Source organism: Homo sapiens, chromosome 8 (genome assembly GCF_000001405.40).
Source record: "Homo sapiens chromosome 8, GRCh38.p14 Primary Assembly".
NCBI lineage: Eukaryota > Metazoa > Chordata > Mammalia > Primates > Hominidae > Homo > Homo sapiens.
This window is the reverse complement of record NC_000008.11, coordinates 98,580,633-98,600,745: the sequence shown is the minus strand read 5'-3', so window position 1 is coordinate 98,600,745 and position 20,113 is coordinate 98,580,633. Positions and strand designations below refer to the sequence as shown.

The 20,113-nt window shown below is 37.7% G+C and overlaps 1 protein-coding gene across 17 annotated transcripts in view, besides 1 other annotated feature; it reads left to right on the top strand.

Moving 5' to 3' along the window:
- The window catches only part of STK3 (serine/threonine kinase 3), a 598,636-nt gene that overhangs the window by 341,865 nt on the left and 236,658 nt on the right, over positions 1 to 20,113 (top strand). For 15 of the 17 annotated variants that reach the window (XR_007060753.1, XR_007060752.1, XM_047422133.1 and 12 more), the window contains one exon: positions 4,577 to 4,714. The exons of 1 other annotated variant lie outside the window; for it this stretch is intronic. Coding sequence is in view for 13 of the 16 variants with exons in the window: in XM_047422133.1 (XP_047278089.1) it covers positions 4,577 to 4,714 (138 nt within the window). In the remaining 3 variants the exon portion in view is untranslated. Of the gene's footprint in view, positions 1 to 4,576; positions 4,715 to 4,995; positions 5,886 to 20,113 lie in introns of all 17 variants that reach the window. One more of the 17 variants, XR_007060754.1, reaches the window with a different exon arrangement.
- Positions 9,834 to 11,033: an enhancer, noted in NCBI's record as "BRD4-independent group 4 enhancer chr8:99601941-99603140 (GRCh37/hg19 assembly coordinates)". NCBI's record gives its function as "activates an origin of replication core promoter dependent on BRD2, P300/CBP, MED14 and CDK7 cofactors, and independent of BRD4, by STARR-seq in HCT116 cells {active_cell/tissue: HCT116}" and the evidence as "EXISTENCE:reporter gene assay evidence [ECO:0000049][PMID:35650434]".

Below are 20,113 nucleotides of genomic sequence, written 5' to 3'. Positions count from 1 at the left end.
ATTGTTTGACTTTTTTTTTCTTCAGTTTTCCACCGTTAGAGACAGTAAAACTATAATCTTCTTTGTTACAAATACTTTTCCACTTTTTTCTAGAGACTGAATGTATATAACAGAGCCTTTATCTTAAAATAAAATTATGTGCAGCAGAAATCTGATGGAAGCAGTGGTAATGTGAGGTAGCATATGCTAAGGAATCAAACTTGTTCTAATTTTGACATTCACTTTACTAGCTGTGTGATCTTGAATAAGCTAGCTTACTCTTGTGAGCCTCAGTCGTAAAATTAGGTTAATAATAGCTCACATTATTGAGCATTTACAATTGTGCCAGGCACTATTCTAAGTGTTTTACATGTATTAATCTATTTAAAATTCAGAACAGCCCTAACATTCCCATATTAAGATATGGGAACAGAGGCATAGAGTAGTTAAATAGGTCAGATAGTTACTAATAATGGTGCTGTTATGTACCCAGTGCCATCTAGAGCTGGTTCTCTTATTTGCTTTGTACTTCCAGAATACCAGCTGCACCCTCTCCCTTAATTTGGTTTCCAGGCTGGCACATTGGCCTTTCTTGGCCAGATTAATGATTGCTACTGGAACTGGAGTGAATTGTGAGTTCATGTTCCCAATACTTTAACTCTGTGCTTACTGTGGAAACTTTATTATAGGAGAAAGTTTCACTTTAGATTTACTATTCTCTTCAAAATTTCTGTATATTTCATATTTGCTTTTGAGGGAATGGTGATAAAAATTTAGATTCACATTTTTTTTCTTTTTTAGATGGAGTTTCCCTCTTGTTGCCCAGGCTGTAGTGCAATGGCGTGATCTTGGCTCGTTGTAACCTCCATCTCCCAGGTTCAAGCAATTCTGCCTCAGCCACCCTAGTAGCTGGGATTACAAGTGCCTGCCACCATGCCTGGCTAATTTTTGTTTTTTGGGAGAGACAGGGTTTCACCATATTGGCCAGGCTGGTCTCGAACTCCTGGCCTCAGGTGATCCACCTGCCTCAGCCCCTCAAAGTGTTGGGATTACAGGCATGAGTCACTGCACCTGGCCTAGATTCACATTTTTATATTAACATCTAAAAGGCCTTTTCCTGTCCTTCCCTCTTTTTCCTCTTCTCCATCCCTTTCCTAACTAGCAATTTAATACTTGTTTAGTATAATTTTACCCTTCAATTGCTAGGCAGTTAGAGTGCCAGGGTTTTTTAATACGTGGTAAAGAGTGCCAGGGTCTTTTTATACCCAGTACGGGACCTGATAAACATCCAGTTCAACCTCCTTACTTGGAAAAAAAAAACAAAATGATACTAAAGCCACACAGTCAGGTAGTGATTTAGAACTCAAGCCAGTTTTTCTGACTCATGTCCAGTATTGGCCTCATCACATTGTACTGTTTGCTTTTATTTGTACTGTCTTTTATAAATTAGTGTAATTACTTTATTTCCTTTCCAGAAATTATTTTAAAATTTTATTTAGCTTGTTACCTGTGTATTATGTTTGCTATCAGGAAACAGCTATATTTGTTTACTTCTTTATAGTTTTATAGTGTTTTCTCATCCTTTATCTCATTTATTTGTTGTGAAGATAACCTTTTGCTCATATATCTGAGGTTCTTAAATAATAGCATGAATTTCTTTGTTATTCTGGCATGCCCATCACTTCTATACATTCACAGACTCAGCTGCTGTAGAGTCAGACATGTGTTGACTCATTCCACTGAGATTATAAAGTTCAGTCATTGTTGATTCTCATTTTCAGCCCTTTCCACATCTCCTGGGTACTCTTGCAGTCTAAGGCATGACATTTCAGGCATGAAGATAATTAGTTGTTTTGAAGCACCTAGATTTCTTGCGTTATTAAACTGCTTGTGATCAGAGTAGTTCTTTTAGAAACATAATCAGAGGTTTGGTATGTAGTTAAGCAACACATTGTGTAGAAACAAACACAAGGATAATCATGTCATTTATTTTACTAACATTCTTCAATCAAAATGGTGTTAGAGATAAGATAAATTATATGGCTGTAATGTGTGTCCCTGTGATTTGGTTGGTGGCAAGGGAATGAATTGTTAGTCTAAAGTGAGCCACTGATTGCCAAAACTTTCTATAGAAGGGGCCTAATACCTAATCAACTCATATAAAACCTAGAGATTCTTAAGAGGATCCTCTGTGGTTCATTATTAGGTTAAATTAGTTAAATTAGTACAGTAAGGCTGTCAAGAAAATCTATTATTGATGAGCTAACCTTAAAAAATGGAAATAAATGGCATAGTGGTTTTCCTGGAGACATTTTGGTGTAGATCATACGCTAAGACTTATTTGTTTGGACTGTATGCTCGGTGTTCATGCTTGTTCAATGCATATTTGAGGGTAGAATGTGACATTTTAGGTTCACTTTATGAGAGTACTGGGTAAATAAGAGTTAGAGTTAAGCTTTTTATCCTTGGGTTTCTAATAGCTACTGCTAAGGTGAGCCTTATATGTTAAGATTATCTCAAGATAAGACTGCAACTCATTGCCTCAAAGTTCAAAGGAGAGCATTGGCTTCAAGGACATAAATCATTGTGTTATCCACCAGTTTACAACAGAAGTGCAGATGAACAATATTTATCTAGACAATCTAGTATAATTTACCTGCAGTTTGAGGTCAGTCTATATAGGGGCTTATGTAAGTCCTTTGAACTGTTTCACAGAGATGAGAGTTCAAATTTATTTTTATTCTCTAGTTGGAAGTAGCAGGTGGTTTTGTGTGCCTTTTCCAGCAGCTGCTTTTAACCCCATTTTACTCATTTTTTAAAGCCTTATTAGGTTCTGCCTCAACTGTGGAGCTGTCTGAGATTAATTAGGTTATTTGCAGGCAGAATTTCATTGTCTGGCACTCAGTTGTTTGCTATTCGTTTCATATGTGTTTTTTTTTTTTTCTGCACAAGTTGACTGTGAGCTCTGGGGGTCTGAGATATGTATCCTATTTTAAAAACTGTAATAGCCGGGTTTATAAGGTCTGATATTTAAAGGGACCATCACATAAAGTAGATAATTGAGCCAGGCTAGATAGAGCTCACGCAAAAGGAAGAACATATGTCCTAGTTTAAATTAGTCTAATTACAGCAGATTCATCTTGTGGCAATGTGAGATTGATTTTGTCTGAACGAAGTAGGTCCACTGGCACTATTTGGCCTGTGGCCCTTTGTTTTGATACCTCTAAATTATAGCATTGTTCTGAACACACAGAAATGCTTTATAAATATTTGTTTGATTGAAAGATGTTTATTGTTTTGTAATACTGGCTACACTGCTTTTGAAAGACTATCATAGATGTAATATGTATAACATGACGTGAGGTATATAAAATATTCTAATCTATTAAAGAATTTACGTTTTTTGAAAGAAGATGCATATACTGGTAAAAAGATTGACTCTTAACCTATAATCAACAGACTTGGATATTGAGTCTTTGCTGCTGTGTCCACAGAAAGTCCATTTGATCACTTTCCAAGTAAGAAACCAATGATAATGCATTATATTAAATGGCTGCATATTCTGAGGGCATTCAAAAGAATGATATAGGCAATTATTAAAATACCTGAGTGCCTTGCAATTTAAGGTACCTATTTCTTATTTCTTGAATTCTGGAGTAATTTTTCATGCTTCCTTTTTTCACCTCTCCAAAACAATATTATTAGCATGTACTCTTGGTTCCTCCTTTGAAGTATCTCATGCTTCATTTCTTCCATTTCATTCCTGTAGATACTATTCTAGTTTGAACATTTTATTACTCATGTTGGGACATCTACATTAACCCCCTAACTGACTTGTATTTCATATTTAGAATGTCTTCAGGTTTTTGTTTTTGTTTTTTTAATCTACTTCTTGGGTCATAAACATACTCAGATTAAAAGCAAAAACAGGCCAGGGTGACTATCTAGGAGGCGAGAGATGAGATGGACTCTTTTTATGGCTTTTGATTTTTGAGGTTTCTGAATGTATTATCATTACCACTAAATTATAAGTACTCAATCATTAGTAATAAATTAAAGTAGTATATTACCTTTGAAATTTTTCATTTGAAATTTTGACTCATATTTAAAAAGAGAAAAGTCTTGGCTCTGTCAAGTATTATTTCAAATTATAGCAGTAATTTTACTTAAATATTCTGGATTGCAAAAGCAAATTGGACTCCTACTACCCATTTTAAGCAGCAATGCTTATATAAAACTGAAACAAGAAGTAAATCTGGCATGTAGTAGCAAAATTTGGGAATATATATGTTTAGGGAAAGTCCTTAGTGGGTCAGAAATATAGTCTTCTTTAGAGACTGATAAAAAAAAGTAATAGGTAAAATAAAGAATGATGTGCTCAATGAGCTACAATTCAAATAGAGGAAATTTAATGGGAAATGATTACATTAGTAGCAGATGGACTGGCTTCCTGAATTTCAGTGTTACTAGAAATCCTAGAACAGCTTAAATTTGTTTTTCAAATTTAGAGTCTGATAAAAAGACAGATAAAGAGATTTGTTTATTTGATTGTGCTAGTGTGATTCTTACTGTCTTTTGGATATTTCATTTGTACTAGGCTATTTTTATGATTCCCACAAATCCACCACCAACATTCAGAAAGCCAGAACTTTGGTCCGATGATTTCACCGATTTTGTTAAAAAGTGTTTGGTGAAGAATCCTGAGCAGAGAGCTACTGCAACACAACTTTTACAGGTCAGTGCTTGTGCCTCGAAGGGAAGGATATTTTCTTCATACCTTTCAGCTTTCTGACATTGGCCAGAATTGCTGTGTGTTTCATAACTGATTTCTAAAGATGTAAACCTCCCCTCCCCTCCTGTTTGCTCCCTTCTTTTCTTTCCTCCCCTCTCGTCCCCTCATTTCCCCCAGAGTCATTTTAAAACAAAATTTCCAAAGCATTCTCCTTTCAGAAAGGAATCTTTGTCTTCATAGTTACTATTTCTCATGTTTTTTTTTTCTTCTGTTCCTTGACTCAGCATTTATCCTTTGACTTTTTGCTCCACCATAAAATATGTAAGTACAAGATCCCTGGACTCCTTGAAGAGATTATCACGTTGTAAATATCAGTTACAGGATTATCTAAATGAAGAGCTTCAGAGTTTCAATTTTTTTTGATAGAATAATTGTAAGTAGACTTTGTATCCAGAATGTCAGTAGATTTTAAAATCTACCTTAAAATTTAATGCAAATAGAAATAATTTAATATTTATAATAGGTGTTTGTGAATCTTAATTTCCCCAACAGAATAGTCTTAGAACTTTCAGCTAATAATAAGTATGTCTCACATTAACAAAACTTGATATTTGCTAAATGATTTCTATTGTTAAGTGACAAAAGGATGAAAAACATGGTTCTTGTAAAAAGGGACTTCCCTGTCTCTAAAGGAACCATTGGGTTAAAAGAACAAAAAAAGAAAAAAGGAAAAAAAAAAAAAAGTAACTTTCCAAAGTCCCATTTTTCCAAAAGGATGTATTGAGGGGTATGGAAAACAGGCTCTTAAGTATAATGTTTATTGTTATGAAAGTGTAACTTGGTACTCAATCTCCATAGATGCCAGTACAGCAATATCTATTTAAAATAAAAATCCATATATTCTTTGATCCAACAGTTGCACTTCTAGGAATTTATTCTACAGAAATATTTAACCATGTGTGAAATAACATGTGTAAAAATATTCGTAGAACATTGAAATTGTAAAAGATTGGAAAGATCCTAAATGTCTGTCAACAAGTTGGAAACAATTTAAAGTACAAGAAAAAGAGTTACTGGAAAAATACACCTATGTACACACAACATATATACATATCTTAATGCTTATAATGAAGTATCTCTGGAAAAATAAGCAAGAAACTGGCCTCCAGAAAAGGTAACTAACTATGGATGGGGCAGGACTGGGATGGAGACTTGCTTTTTGATGAAAACTGTTTATGAGACTTTTGCGATTTGGGTTATGTGCAAATACTACCTTTCAAAAAGTAATGGTTAAGATGGTAAAATTTTATTTTTCCACAAAAATTGATTAAAACATTTATTTTGAAATATTGTCAATATTCATTTGAAATATATATGTATGTGTTATATATGTATATTATATGTGTGTGTATATATTTTATTTTATTTTTTATTTTTTTGAGATGGTATCTCACTCTGTCACCCAGGCTAGAGTGCAGTGGCACCTGGCTCACTGCAACCTCTGCCTCTTGGTTTCAAGTGATTCTCGTGCCTTAGCCTCCCAAGTAGCTGGGATTACAGGTGTGTGCCACCATGCCTGGCTAATTTTTGTATTATTAGTAGAGACAGAGTTTCGCCATGTTGATCAGGCTGGTATCAAACTCCTGACCTCAAGTGATCCGCCTGCCTCAGCCTCCCAAAGTGCTGGGATTACAGACATGAGCCACCGTGCCCGGCCCATGTATTTTTTGAGATAGGGTCTCACTGTATTGCCCCCGCTGGAGTGCAGTGGCATGATCTCGCTCACTGAAACCTCTACCTCCTGGGCTCCACCTATCCTCCCACCTCAGCCTCCTGAGTAGCTGGGACTACAGATGCATGCCACCACATCCAGCTAACTTTTGTCTGTTTCGTAGAGACAGGATTCGCCATGTTACCCAGGCTAGTCTCGAACTCCTGGGCTCAAGTAATCTGCCCACTTTGGCCTCCCAAATTCCTGGGATTATAGGCGTGAGCTATCTCGCCCTGCTGAAATATATATGTATTTTAAAGTAGTCCAAAGGGTACTACCTTTGGACTCCTAGTATCCAGTACTTGTACATATTAAAGTTAATATGTGTGTATTTAACCTAACAAACTTCTGATTTAAATTTTTTTTTGGGGGGGTAGGATAATTATCTTTGGCCTCATTAGAGTCTTATTTAGCAGGAAGCCTAGGAACCATTCTGTCTCTTCAAGGAGTTTTGTATGTCTTATCTGTTATGATTTAAATTAGTTGTCCCCAACCTTTTTGGCACCAGGGACTGGTTTCATGGAAGACAGTTTTTCCATGGATGGTGAGCAGAGTTGGGATTGTTTCAGGATTAAACTGTCCTGCCTCAGATCATTAGGCATTAGTTAGATTCTCATAAGGAGCATGCAACTTGGATCCCTCACATGTGCAGGTCACAATAGGGTTTGTGCTCCTGTTAGAATCTAATACCACTGCTGATCTGACAGTAGGCAGAGTTCAGGCTGTAATGCTCACTCACCTCCTGCTGTGCAGCCCAGTTCATAACAGGCCAAGGCAGGTACCAGTCTGCAGCTGGAGGTTGGGGACCCCTAATTTAAATCATAGTTTAACTCTCAGTGGACAATCTGATTACCAAATTTTAGTTGACATATATCTATAGCTTACGTGTACAGATTATACCATATTCATTTCCAGTAAACAAAGAAACAATATTTAAAAAGAAATTCCTGATGGATTTTTAAAATAGTGATTGATTTTCTATGACACAGATAGATTATTGTATACATTTTTAAAAATCATAGAAGGGAAGGATCCTTTGAGATTATTAAATTGAAATTTTAGTAGTTTTTAAAGATAAATTAAAACCCTGGAGATGTTAAAAGACAAGGTTCAGTTTCAGTCTATTAGCACCGGAGTTCCTGATCTGAAGATGATCCTTATACCTGCTGGTGGGCAGCCGAGATTCTAAAGTCAGTAAGTGGCCAGGCACCGTGGCTCACGCCTGTAATCCCAGCACTTTGGGAGGCCGAGGCAGGTGGATCACTTGAGATCAGGAGTTCAAGACCAGCCTGGCCAACATAGTGAAACCCCGTCTATACGAAAAATACAAAAATTAGCCAGACATGGTGGTGCACGTCTGTAGTCCCAGCTATTTGGGAGGCTGAGGCAAGAGAATCACTTGAACCCGGGAGACAGGGATTACAATGAGCCAAGATCGCACCACTGCACTCCAGCCTGGACAACAGAGTGAGACTCTGTCTCAAAATAAATAAATAAATAAATAAATAAATAAATAAATAAATAAATAAAGTAAGTCAGTGAGCAGTCTTCCATGATCTCTTCCCTTTTTATCAAGTTGGAAAACAGAGGTACTTACAACACAACTTCAAACAACTGTAAAGACAAAGACAGTGTCCTAGAGGAGTGTAGAGCAATAAGAAAGAAAAGACTCCTGTCCTACTCTAAACATTTTTGACAAACTAGTAGAAAGGTCACACACACACCCCAAAAACACACAAAAAACTGAAGTTATATTCTTTGAGAAATGAAAGACAAAAATGTTAAAAAATTATAATACAATGTAGAAGTTACATTCATGATGCACAGCCTATATGATTAAGAAATGTAAAAGTAGAAGAATGGATATGGTAATCACAGATACCTCATACAGAAGAAGCAGATCATTTTAGGGAGGAGAAATGGTATGAACAATATGAACAAAGACACAAAAATGGGAGATGTATTTTAGAACACAGTAAGATCTGCTTAGCCAGAATAGAAACACCAGTTAGAGAAGTGGTGTCTGAGTTTAGATACAGACAACAGTGAAGCAAGAAGGGTATTCTGATGCCTAGGATGAGATGCCTCAATTTTGTCTGAGAGCCACCTTACTTACATATGTAAACAAGAGAATGTAAGAAAAGAATGTCTTTGATAACATAATATTGCAACAAAGTATAGAAATAGAATGAGGAGGCACTGTAATAATACAGGTGTGAATTGTTAAGGACCTGAGTTTAAAAAAATAGTTGCCAAAATAGAAAATAGTAAATCTGATGAAAGAATGAGAAGGATTTAGTGACTGATTATGTATTAACAGAAGTGAGAGAAGACCAACACTACAGAAACTAGAAACCAGTAGAATTATATTTCTTTAACAAAGTATAGAAAATTCAAACTACATTATACTTTATCTTCTCAGGGGAATGTATAAACTACCCTTCTAAGCTGCAGTTATTTTTAAGAAAAGCCAATATACTTATCTGGTTCGTCCAATTTACCACAACCCTGCTTTTATGCAATTCATTGTCAATTCACTATAGTGTTATGCTACAGTTAGTCTATAGAGCTTAACATTCTTAATCTCAAAATCTCGGTATGTCCAATTTCATTTGTACTCATGCTTTCCCTACATAACTGCTGCAGACATGGTTTTGATCAACAAAGAGGAACTGGCTAATAAAGTTAAAAGGGTACATGAAGAGCAAGACCATATTATTTGAGTATTCTTGAGTCAGAAGAGAAGTTTTATCAGACAAATTGCCAAGTTTTTAAGTACAAGTGCTCCTTAACTTACAATGGAGTTAGGTCCTGATAAACCCCAATGAAGGTTTAAAATATTGTAAGTCAAAAAGGTGTTAAAATACACCTATCCTAGCTTAGCCTAGCCTACCAAAAACGTGCCCAGAACACATACATTAGTGTAGTTGAGTGTTTTGTAGACGCAATTGAATGTGAAAACACAAAACACAATATCCAAAAAATGCTGACAACACAGTACACTATAGAATATTGGTTAATTACCCTCATGATCGCATAGCTCACTGGGAGCTGGGACTTATTAATACCTCCATGCTCAGCATCAGAAGAGAGTATTGTACCACATATTACTAGCCTGGGAAAATATCAAATATCAGAATTCCAAGTATGGTTCCTACTGAATGCATATCACTTTTGCAGCATTGTAAAGTTGAAAAATCCTAAATTGAACCTTTGTAAGTCAGGGACTATCTGTATATTTTTAAAGGCATTTTAAGATTAGCAGGTGGTAAAATTAAAACTGCAAAGCAACGTAAAAAAGAATGCAGAAAAAACAAGATGGCAAATGTAAAACATTTATGATAGAATATTATGATAAAACATGTATGTTTTACATAATGTAAAACAATTGTGATAAAATGGCATTAGCATATAATTATATACTAACATAAGTGGTTAATTTTTTTAAATAATATTTAGTTAAGTACTAAATGGTTCACTTAGTTCATAAGATAAATGCAACTCCATGCTTTCTACATGAGATAAACTTACAAACTTACATAAAATCCAACTCATGTTTCTACATGAGGCATACTTAAAAGAATTTGGGTTAAAAGTTAAAAACAGCTGTTTAGTGGTCTCTTCACACGGACGTGCATGAAATTTGGTGCTGTGACTTGGATCGGGGGGCCTCCCTTGGGAGATCAATCCCCCGTCCTCCTGCTTTTTGCTCCTTGAGAAAGATCCACCTAGGACCTCAGGTCCTCAGACCGACCAGCCCAAGATACATCTCACCAATTTCAAATCCGCCACTCCCAGAGCCCCTGGAACTCTGGCCCAAGGCTCTCTGACTCCTTCCCAGATCTTCTCGGCTTAGCGGCTGAAGACTGACACTGCCCGATCGCCTCGGAAGCCCTCTACCCCATCACGGACGCCGAGCTTTCGGTAACTCTTACGGTGGAAGAAAGGAACGGCATCAGGGCACATTGAGGCTCAGAAATTTATATTCCAAGAAGAGGTGCACAGGAACAGAGCAGATCCAAAGACAACCACCTGGAAGCACTCATAACAACAGAAATAGCAAATCAATGCTGGTTATTTTCTTTTGTCGGAAATGAGAAATCTTTATTTGTCCATTCACTTTTCTCAAGAGAAGATTTTCGGAGGAGCCAAGATGGCCGAATAGGAACAGCTCCGGTCTACAGCTCCCAGCATGAGCGCCGCAGAAGACAGGTGATTTCTGCATTTCCATCTGAGGTACCCGGTTCATCTCACTAGGGAGTGCCAGACAGTGGGCGCAGGTCAGTGGGTGCGTGCACCGTGTGCGAGCCGAAGCAGGGCGAGGCATTGCCTCACTCGGGAAGTGCAAGGGGTCAGGGGGTTCCCTTTCCTAGTCAAAGAAAGGAGTGACGGACGGCACCTGGAAAATCAGGCCACTCCCACCCTAATACTGCACTTTTCCGACGGGCTTAAAAAATGGTGCACCACGAGATTATATCCCGCACCTGGCTCAGAGGGTCCTATGCCCACGGAGTCTCGCTGATTGCTAGCACAGCAGTCTGAGATCAAACTGCAAGGCAGCAGCTAGGCTGGGGGAGGGGCGCCCGCCATTGCCCAGGCTTGCTTAAGTAGACAAAGCAGCCAGGAAGCTCGAACTGGGTGGAGCCCACCACAGCTCAAGAAGGCCTGCCTGCATCTGTAGGCTCCACCTCTGGGGGCAGGGCACAGACAAACAAAAAGACAGCAGTAACCTCTGCAGACTTAAATGTCCCTGTCTGACAGCTTTGAAGAGAGCAGTGGTTCTCCCAGTATGCAGCTGGAGATCTGAGAAGGGGCAGACTGCCTCCTTAAGTGGGTGCATGACCCCTGACCCCCGGGCAGCCTAACTGGGAGGCACCCTCCAACAGGGGCACACTGACACCTCACACGGCAGGTTACTCCAACAGACCTGCAACTGAGGGTCCTGTCTGTTAGAAGGAAAACTAACAAACAGAAAGGACATCCACACCAAAAACCCATCTGTTCATCACCATCATCAAAGACCAAAAGTAGATAAAACCACAAAGATGGGGAAAAAACAGAACAGAAAAACTGGAAACTCTAAAAAGCAGAGTGCCTCTCCTCCTCCAAAGGAATGCAGTTCCTCACCAGCAACGGAACAAAGCTGGATGGAGAATGACTTTGACGAGCTGAGAGAAGAAGGCTTCAGACGATCAAATTACTCTGAGCTATGGGAGGACATTCAAACCAAAGGCAAAGAAGTTGAAAACTTTGAAAAAAATTTAGAAGAATGTATAACTAGAATAACCAATACAGAGAAGTGCTTAAAGGAGCTGATGGAGCTGAAAACCAAGGCTCGAGAACTACGTGAAGAATGCAGAAGCCTCAGGAGCCGATGCGATCAACTGGAAGAAAGGGTATCAGCAATGGAAGATGAAATGAGTGAAATGAAGCGAGAAGGGAAGTTTAGAGAAAAAAGAATAAAAGGAAATGAGCAAAGCCTCCAAGAAATATGGGACTATGTGAAAAGACCAAATCTACGTCTAATTGGTGTACCTGAAAGTGATGGGGAGAATGGAACCAAGTTGGAAAACACTCTGCAGGATATTATCCAGGAGAACTTCCCCAATCTAGCAAGGCAGGCCAACGTTCAGATTCAGGAAATACAGAGAACGCCATAAAGATACTCCTCGAGAAAGCAACTCCAAGACACATAATTGTCAGATTCACCAAAGTTGAAATGAAGGAAAAAATGTTAAGGGCAGCCAGAGAGAAAGGTCGGGTTACCCTCAAAGGGAAGCCCATCAGACTAACAGCGGATCTCTCAGCAGAAACCCTACAAGCCAGAAGAGAGTGGGGGCCAATATTCAACATTCTTAAAGAAAAGAATTTTCAACCCAGAATTTCATATCCAGCCAAACTAAGCTTCATAAGTGAAGGAGAAATAAAATCCTTTACAGACAAGCAAATGCTGAGAGATTTTGTCACCACCAGGCCTGCCCTAAAAGAGCTCCTGAAGGAAGCGCTAAAAATGGAAAGGAACAACCGGCACCAGCCGCTGCAAAATCATGCCAAAGTGTAAAGACCATCGAGACTAGGAAGAAACTGCATCAACTAACGAGCAAAATAACCAGCTAACATCATCATGACAGGATCAAATTCACACATAACAATATTAACTTTAAATGTAAATGGACCAAATGCTCCAATTAAAACACACAGACTGGCAAATTGGATAAAGAGTCAAGACCCATCAGTGTGCTGTATTGAGGAAACCCATCTCACGTGCAGAGACACACATAGGCTAAAAATACAAGGATGGAGGAAAATCTACCAAGCAAATGGAAAACAAAAAAAGGCAGGGGTTGCAATCCTAGTCTCTGATAAAACAGACTTTAAACCAACAAAGATCAAAAGAGACAAAGAAGGCCATTACATAATGGTAAAGGGATCAATTCAACAAGAAGAGCTAACTATACTAAATATATATGCACCCAACACAGGAGCACCCAGATTCATAAAGCAAGTCCTTAGAGACCTACAAAGAGACTTAGACTCCCACACATTAATAATGGGAGACTTTAACACCCCACTGTCAACATTAGACAGATCAACGAGACAGAAAGTCAACAAGGATACCCAGGAATTGAACTCAGCTCTGCACCAAGCGGAACTAATAGACATCTACAGAACTCTCCATCCCAAATCAACAGAATATACATTTTTTTCAGCACCACACCACTCCTATTCCAAAATTGACCACATACTTTGAAGTAAATCTCTCCTCAGCAAATGTAAAAGAACAGAAATTATAACAAACTATCTCTCAGACCACAATGCAATCAAACTAGAACTCAGGATTAAGAATCTCACTCAAAACCACTCAACTACATGGAAACTGAACAACCTGCTCCTGAATGACTACTGGGTACATAACGAAATGAAGGCAGAAATAAAGATGTTCTTTGAAACCAATGAGAACAAAGACACAACATACCAGAATCTCTGGGACGCATTCAAAGCAGTGTGTAGAGGGAAATTTATAGCGCTAAATGCCCACAAGAGAAAGCAGGAAAGATCCAAAATTGACACCCTAACATCACAATTAAAAGAACTAGAAAAGCCAGAGCAAACACATTCAAAAGCTAGCAGAAGGCAAGAAATAACTAAAATCAGAGCAGAACTGAAGGAAACAGAGACACAAAAAACCCTTCAAAAAATTAACGAATCCAGGAGCTGGTTTTTTGAAAGGATCAACAAAATTGATAGACCGCTAGCAAGACTAATAAAGAAAAAAAGAGAGAAGAATCAAATAGATGCAATAAAAAATGATAAAGGGGATATCAACACCGATCCCACAGAAATACAAACTACCATCCGAGAATACTACAAACACCTCTACGCAAATAAACTAGAAAATCTAGAAGAAATGGATAAATTCCTCGACACATACACTCTCCCAGGACTAAACCAGGAAGAAGTTGAATCTCTGAATAGACCAATAACAGGATCTGAAATTGTGGCAATAATCAATAGCTTACCAACCAAAAAGAGTCCAGGACCAGACAGATTCACAGCCTAATTCTACCAGAGGTACAAGGAGGAACTGGTACCATTCCTTCTGAAACTATTCCAATCAATAGAAAAAGAGGGAATCCTCCCTAACTCATTTTATGAGGCCAGCATCATTCTGATACCAAAGCCGGGCAGAGACACAACCAAAAAAGAGAATTTTAGACCAATATCCTTGATGAACATTGATGCAAAAATCCTCAATAAAATACTGGCAAACCGAATCCAGCAGCACATCAAAAAGCTTATCCACCATGATCAAGTGGGCTTCATCCCTGGGATGCAAGGCTGGTTCAATATATGCAAATCAATAAATGTAATCCAGCATATAAACAGAGCCAAAGACAAAAACCACATGATTATCTCATTAGATGCAGAAAAGGCCTTTGACAAAATTCAACCACCCTTCATGCTAAAAACTCTCAATAAATTAGGTATTGATGGGATATATTTCAAAATAATAAGAGCTATCTATGACAAACCCACAGCCAATATCATACTGAATGGGCAAAAACTGGAAGCATTCCCTTTGAAAACTGGCACAAGACAGGGATGCCCTCTCTCACCACTCCTATTCAACATAGTGTTGGAAGTTCTGGCCAGGGCAATCAGGCAGGAGAAGTAAATCAAGGGTATTCAATTAGAAAAAGAGGAAGTCAAATTGTCCCTGTCTGCTGATGACATGATTGTATATCTAGAAAACCCCATTGTCTTAGCCCAAAATCTCCTTAAGCTGATAAGCAACTTCAGCAAAGTTTCAGGATACAAAATCAATGTGCAAAAATCACAAGCATTCTTATACACCAACAACAGACAAACAGAGAGCCAAATCATGAGTGAACTCCCATTCACAATTGCTTCAAAGAGAATAAAATACCTAGGAATCCAACTTACAAGGGATGTGAAGGACCTCTTCAAGGAGAACTACAAACCCCTGCTCAAGAAAATAGAAGAGGATACAAACAAATGGAAGAACATTCCATGCTCATGGGTAGGAAGAATCAATATCGTGAAAAAGGCCATACTGCCCAAGGTAATTTACAGATTCAATGCCATCCCCATCAAGCTACCAATGACTTTCTTCACAGAATTGGAAAAAACTACTTTAAAGTTCATATGGAACCAAAAAAGAGCCCGCATCGCCAAGTCAATCCTAAGCCAAAAGAACAAAGCTGGAGGCATCACACTACCTGACTTCAAACTATACTACAAGGCTACAGTAACCAAAACAGCATGGTACTGGTACCAAAACAGAGATATAGATCAATGGAACAGAACAGAGCCCTTAGAAATAATGCCGCATATCTACAACTATCTGATCTTTGACAAACCTGAGAAAAACAAGCAATGGGGAAAGGATTCCCTATTTAATAAATGGTGCTGGGAAAATTGGCTAGTCATATGTAGAAGGCTGAAACTGGATCCCTTCCTTACACCTTATACAAAAATTAATTCAAGATGGATTAAAGACTTAAACGTTAGACCTAAAACCATAAAAACCCTAGAAGAAAACCTAGGCATTACCATTCAGGACATAGGCATGGGCAAGGCCTTCATGTCTAAAACACCAAAAGCAATGGCAACAAAAGCCAAAATTGACAAATGGGATCTAATTAAACTAAAGAGCTTCTGCACAGCAAAAGAAACTACCATCAGAGTGAACAGGCAACCTACAGAATGGGAGAAAATTTTCGCAACCTACTCATCTGACAAAGGGCTAATATCCAGAATCTACAATGAACTCAAACAAATTTACAAGAAAAAAACAACCCCATCAAAAAGTGGGCGAAGGACATGAACAGACACTTCTCAAAAGAAGACATTTATGCAGCTAAAAAACACATGAAAAAATGCTCATCATCACTGGCCATCAGAGAAATGCAAATCAAAACCACAATGAGATACCATCTCACACCAGTTAGAATGGCAATCATTAAAAAGTCAGGAAACAACAGGTGCTGGAGAGGATGTGGAGAAATAGGAACACTTTTACACTGTTGGTGGGACTGTGAACTAGTTCAACCATTGTGGAAGTCAGTGTGGCGATTCCTCAGGGATCTAGAACTAGAAATACCATTTGACCCAGCCATCCCATTACTGGGTATATACCCAAAGGACTATAAATCATGCTGCTATAAAGACACATGCACACGTATGTTTATTGCGGCATTATTCACAATAGCAAAGACTTGGAACCAACCCACATGTCCAAAAATGATAGACTGGATTAAGAAAATGTGGCACATATATGCCATGGAATACTATGCAGCCATAAAAAATGATGAGTTCATGTCCTTTGTAGGAACATGGATGAAATTGGAAATCATCATTCTCAGTAAACTATCGCAAGAACAAAAAACCAAACACCGTATATTCTCACTCATAGGTGGGAATTGAACAATGAGATCACATGGACACAGGAAGGGGAACATCACACTCTGGGGACTGTTGTGGGGTGGGGGGAAGGGGGAGGGATAGCATTAGGAGATATACCTAATGCTAGATGACAAGTTAGTGGGTGCAGCGCACCAGCATGGCACATGTATAGATATGTAACTAACCTGCACAATGTGCACATGTACCCTAAAACTTAAAGTATAATAATAAAAGAAAAAAAAACTTTAAAAAAAAAAAGATTTTCACTACCTTCTCCACTAGCAGAGATACATGTTTGCATTTTGTTAAATTAAAAGACATACTTTTTTAAAATTGTGAAACCCTACAGAGAGAAGGTTTAGGTTGAATTAAAAACTAAAATACAAATAACTCCTATTTTTAAAAGAAGTATTTATTAATCTCTAAGTTACCTTCTCTCTCTTTCTTCTCTCTGTCTCTCTTACACACACACACACACACACACACACACATACACTCTCTCTCTTACCCATAGGTTTATTTTCCTGAGCTTATTTTCTCATCTACTTCTTAAACTAATATAGACTATGAATTTCATAAGATAGCTCAAATTGTTTTCAGAACAAGACAAGATAAAGATTAATAATAATATCAGAATATTCTGCTTGGAAAGACGCAAGAAGCTGCCTTAGCTGTATTCTCAAGGAAATAACCTTGAAAAGTTTCATTACCATGTAACTGTTTATCAAGAGATACAGAAGAGCTTATTGAAAAGGTACTTCATCCAAACCACAGTGAGGATGACAGTGCTGATGCTTCCTGGGCTGCTATTTCCCATGACCTTGTCCCACCCCAGCCCACCCCAACCCTGCTGTTAACTTTCAATCTTCAGAAGACTGGGATGGAAAATGTCAATGCAGTATTTTTAATTTTGGTTTGCATAAAAATCACTTGGAAAGAAATGCTAAAATGCAGATTCTATGGCAACATTCTTAGAAATTCTGATTCAGTTTGTCTAGGGGAGGCCGAGAATTTGAATATTTAGAAGTAACCCTCTGCCCTCGCTCCCATGATTCTAACACATGTGATGATACACACCAAATTTTGAGGAATATGATTTAAGTAAACTTCTTAATTGTATTCAATGGTATTGGTATTTTTGTTATTGTTGTAGTAATGTAAAAAGTGAAATTAACCTAATAAAAATGTTTCAATTGTCTGTTTTTATTTAAAAAAAAAAGTTAAAAACAGGCAATGAAATTTTAATAAAATATAAAAAGATAGTATGAATAACATGATCAAAAAAGCAAAATTGACAGCAGAAATCAGTAAATGAGGATGGAGTCACTTAATATTGATAAAGAACATAATATAAAGGAAGATATAGTTATAAACTTGATATATTAATATAGCATTGTATGTTACAAATTAAAGACATAAGAGGTTGCTCTAAATAAATAAATTGGGATATTTTGATATTCCGTTTTCAGTCACTGAGTAACCATATAGGCAAAAAATAAACATCATCTGAATTATATAGTGATTGATTTAATAGAAAAATCAAATTTTATGTTTAATAAACAAATTACATCTTTTTGTTAAATGCTTAGAAAAGTATGTAACGCCAGTATGAGATAGAATAATGAAGCAGAATTAAATGCCCACAAATGGTATATAATATACAAAGGAAACTAGCATATTATGAAGATAGCATTTCTAATCAGTGAGGGAAAAACAAAGTAAAAATGGTGCTGAGATAACTGCCTGCCTTTAGGGGGTGTTGGGAGGATTAACTTAGATCTTCACCACAGAAACACCAAAGTAATTTCCAGATAGATTAAGGTCTTAAATGTTAAAAAAACTAAAACAAAAAATGGAAATAGGAAAGAACTAGGGGTTAATATAGGAGAATATTTATATATTCATTCCGGTGCAATAAAGCAAAAGAAAAATGGATGATTTGAATACATATAACTTAAAAAATGCATGAATGGCAAAAAACGGAAACTAAAAAATATATATATATATTTATGTCAGGCAAGGGGCTGATTATATGAAGGGTTTTATAAAGTATTTCAACAAGAAAAAGATGAATGTACCAGATTCTAATAGGCAGTAAAGTTTTCCTATTTCTAAATGTGTCTAAAATAAAAATTAAAGAGGGTGAGGATTCTTAAACCACCTAAAGTAATGAGAAGACAGAAATTACTGCAGATCAACCTATCACATTCTTGATGATGTATTTTAAAAATTGAGACTGCTTGAAAAGTTTATTCTTTTAAAATCTGAAATATTTCCTCTTAAATTTTGTTCATGTTCTGAATTATCAATTTCTAAACTGATAGTGTTCAAAATTAATGATTTATACAAAAACACTTCAGATAAAACAAGTGCTTAAAGTGAGTTGAAGAAGGCATTTCTGCCGCTGGACAGATTGAGTAACCATATTTTTCTCTATACTTCCTCATTAAAGTACAGCTAAAACCATGGACATTGTAAGTATATAAAACAAGCATAAAAAGACTCTAAAAGGTGGAAAGAAGGCAATAGACTGCTAGAGATGGTGGGACTCAAGGAAAGACATAGCTGTGAGTTCCCTGGGGTTTCTTTTTCCCTCATTTATCCCACACTGGGTAGTGGAGAAGCCAACAACCCAGAAACAACATTGGACACAAACTAGAAATAAAAACCTGCTCTTTCAAGCAGAAGGACGGAGAAATGGACAGCCTAGTAAGACTGAAAACTTTCAGATGATAACCGTTCTACTCTAGCCAAACACCACCAAGAAAACTATGGCCTACCCCGGTCACCAGCAAAGGCTAAATGGAGAACCTAGACTTCTATCCTTTTGAGGCTGTCCAGTCCTTCTCAGGCGGTGTCAGAGAAGGCTGTCATGCTAAGGCATTCATCTCCACAAGGCAGTGTAGAAAGTATTCCCTCCCTAAGTGGGGAGTGCCAGTGAAGACCATGTGGGAGCCTAGACTTATACTCCTACCAGGCAGGAATAAGAACCCAACAACCTCCCTGTTGGAGTGGGGTCAGAGGCAGTCTGGTGAAGGGTCAGGACTTTCATCGCCAATCAGCTAAAATGAGACTACTTCCCACAGTACCAGTACAGGACTCTGGGAGAACCTGACCTCTCACCCTTATCCATTAGTAACAAGGAGCCCTCCATAGCCCAGGCCAGGAAGTGGAACACAGTATTTGCTCCCGCATTCACTTAGTCGCATATAACCACCTGAATGGGTTAAGTTGAGAAACGTAGGATCCAGTTGGGCAATTGTCGGTCCAACCACAACTCTATTTTTGGTGTATGACCAGGAGTCTCTACCACAGATATGTTAATAGGACTTAATTTGTTTGGTAAGATTAATCTATAACTGTTCTAAAATAATTTATTGGTTCTTTACAATTGATTTTAGTATTTCTGTACTCTGAAAAAGTTCTTTCTTATAGTTGTCCCAAATGATATGTTTGCCATTTTAAACCCTCTTTCAAGTATCTATTTCTTCTTCAGCACAATTTTTTTTGTCTTTAAATATATTTTTGTGTTCTCTTGAAGTTTATTAAAATAACTCAGGGCTGGGTGCAGTGGCTCATGCCTCTATTCCCAGCACTTAGGAAGGCTGAGGTGGGAGGATCACTTGAGCCCAGGAGGTCAAGACTATAGTGAGCCATGATTGCACCATTGTGCTCGCATCTGGGCAACAGAGCAAGCCCCTGTC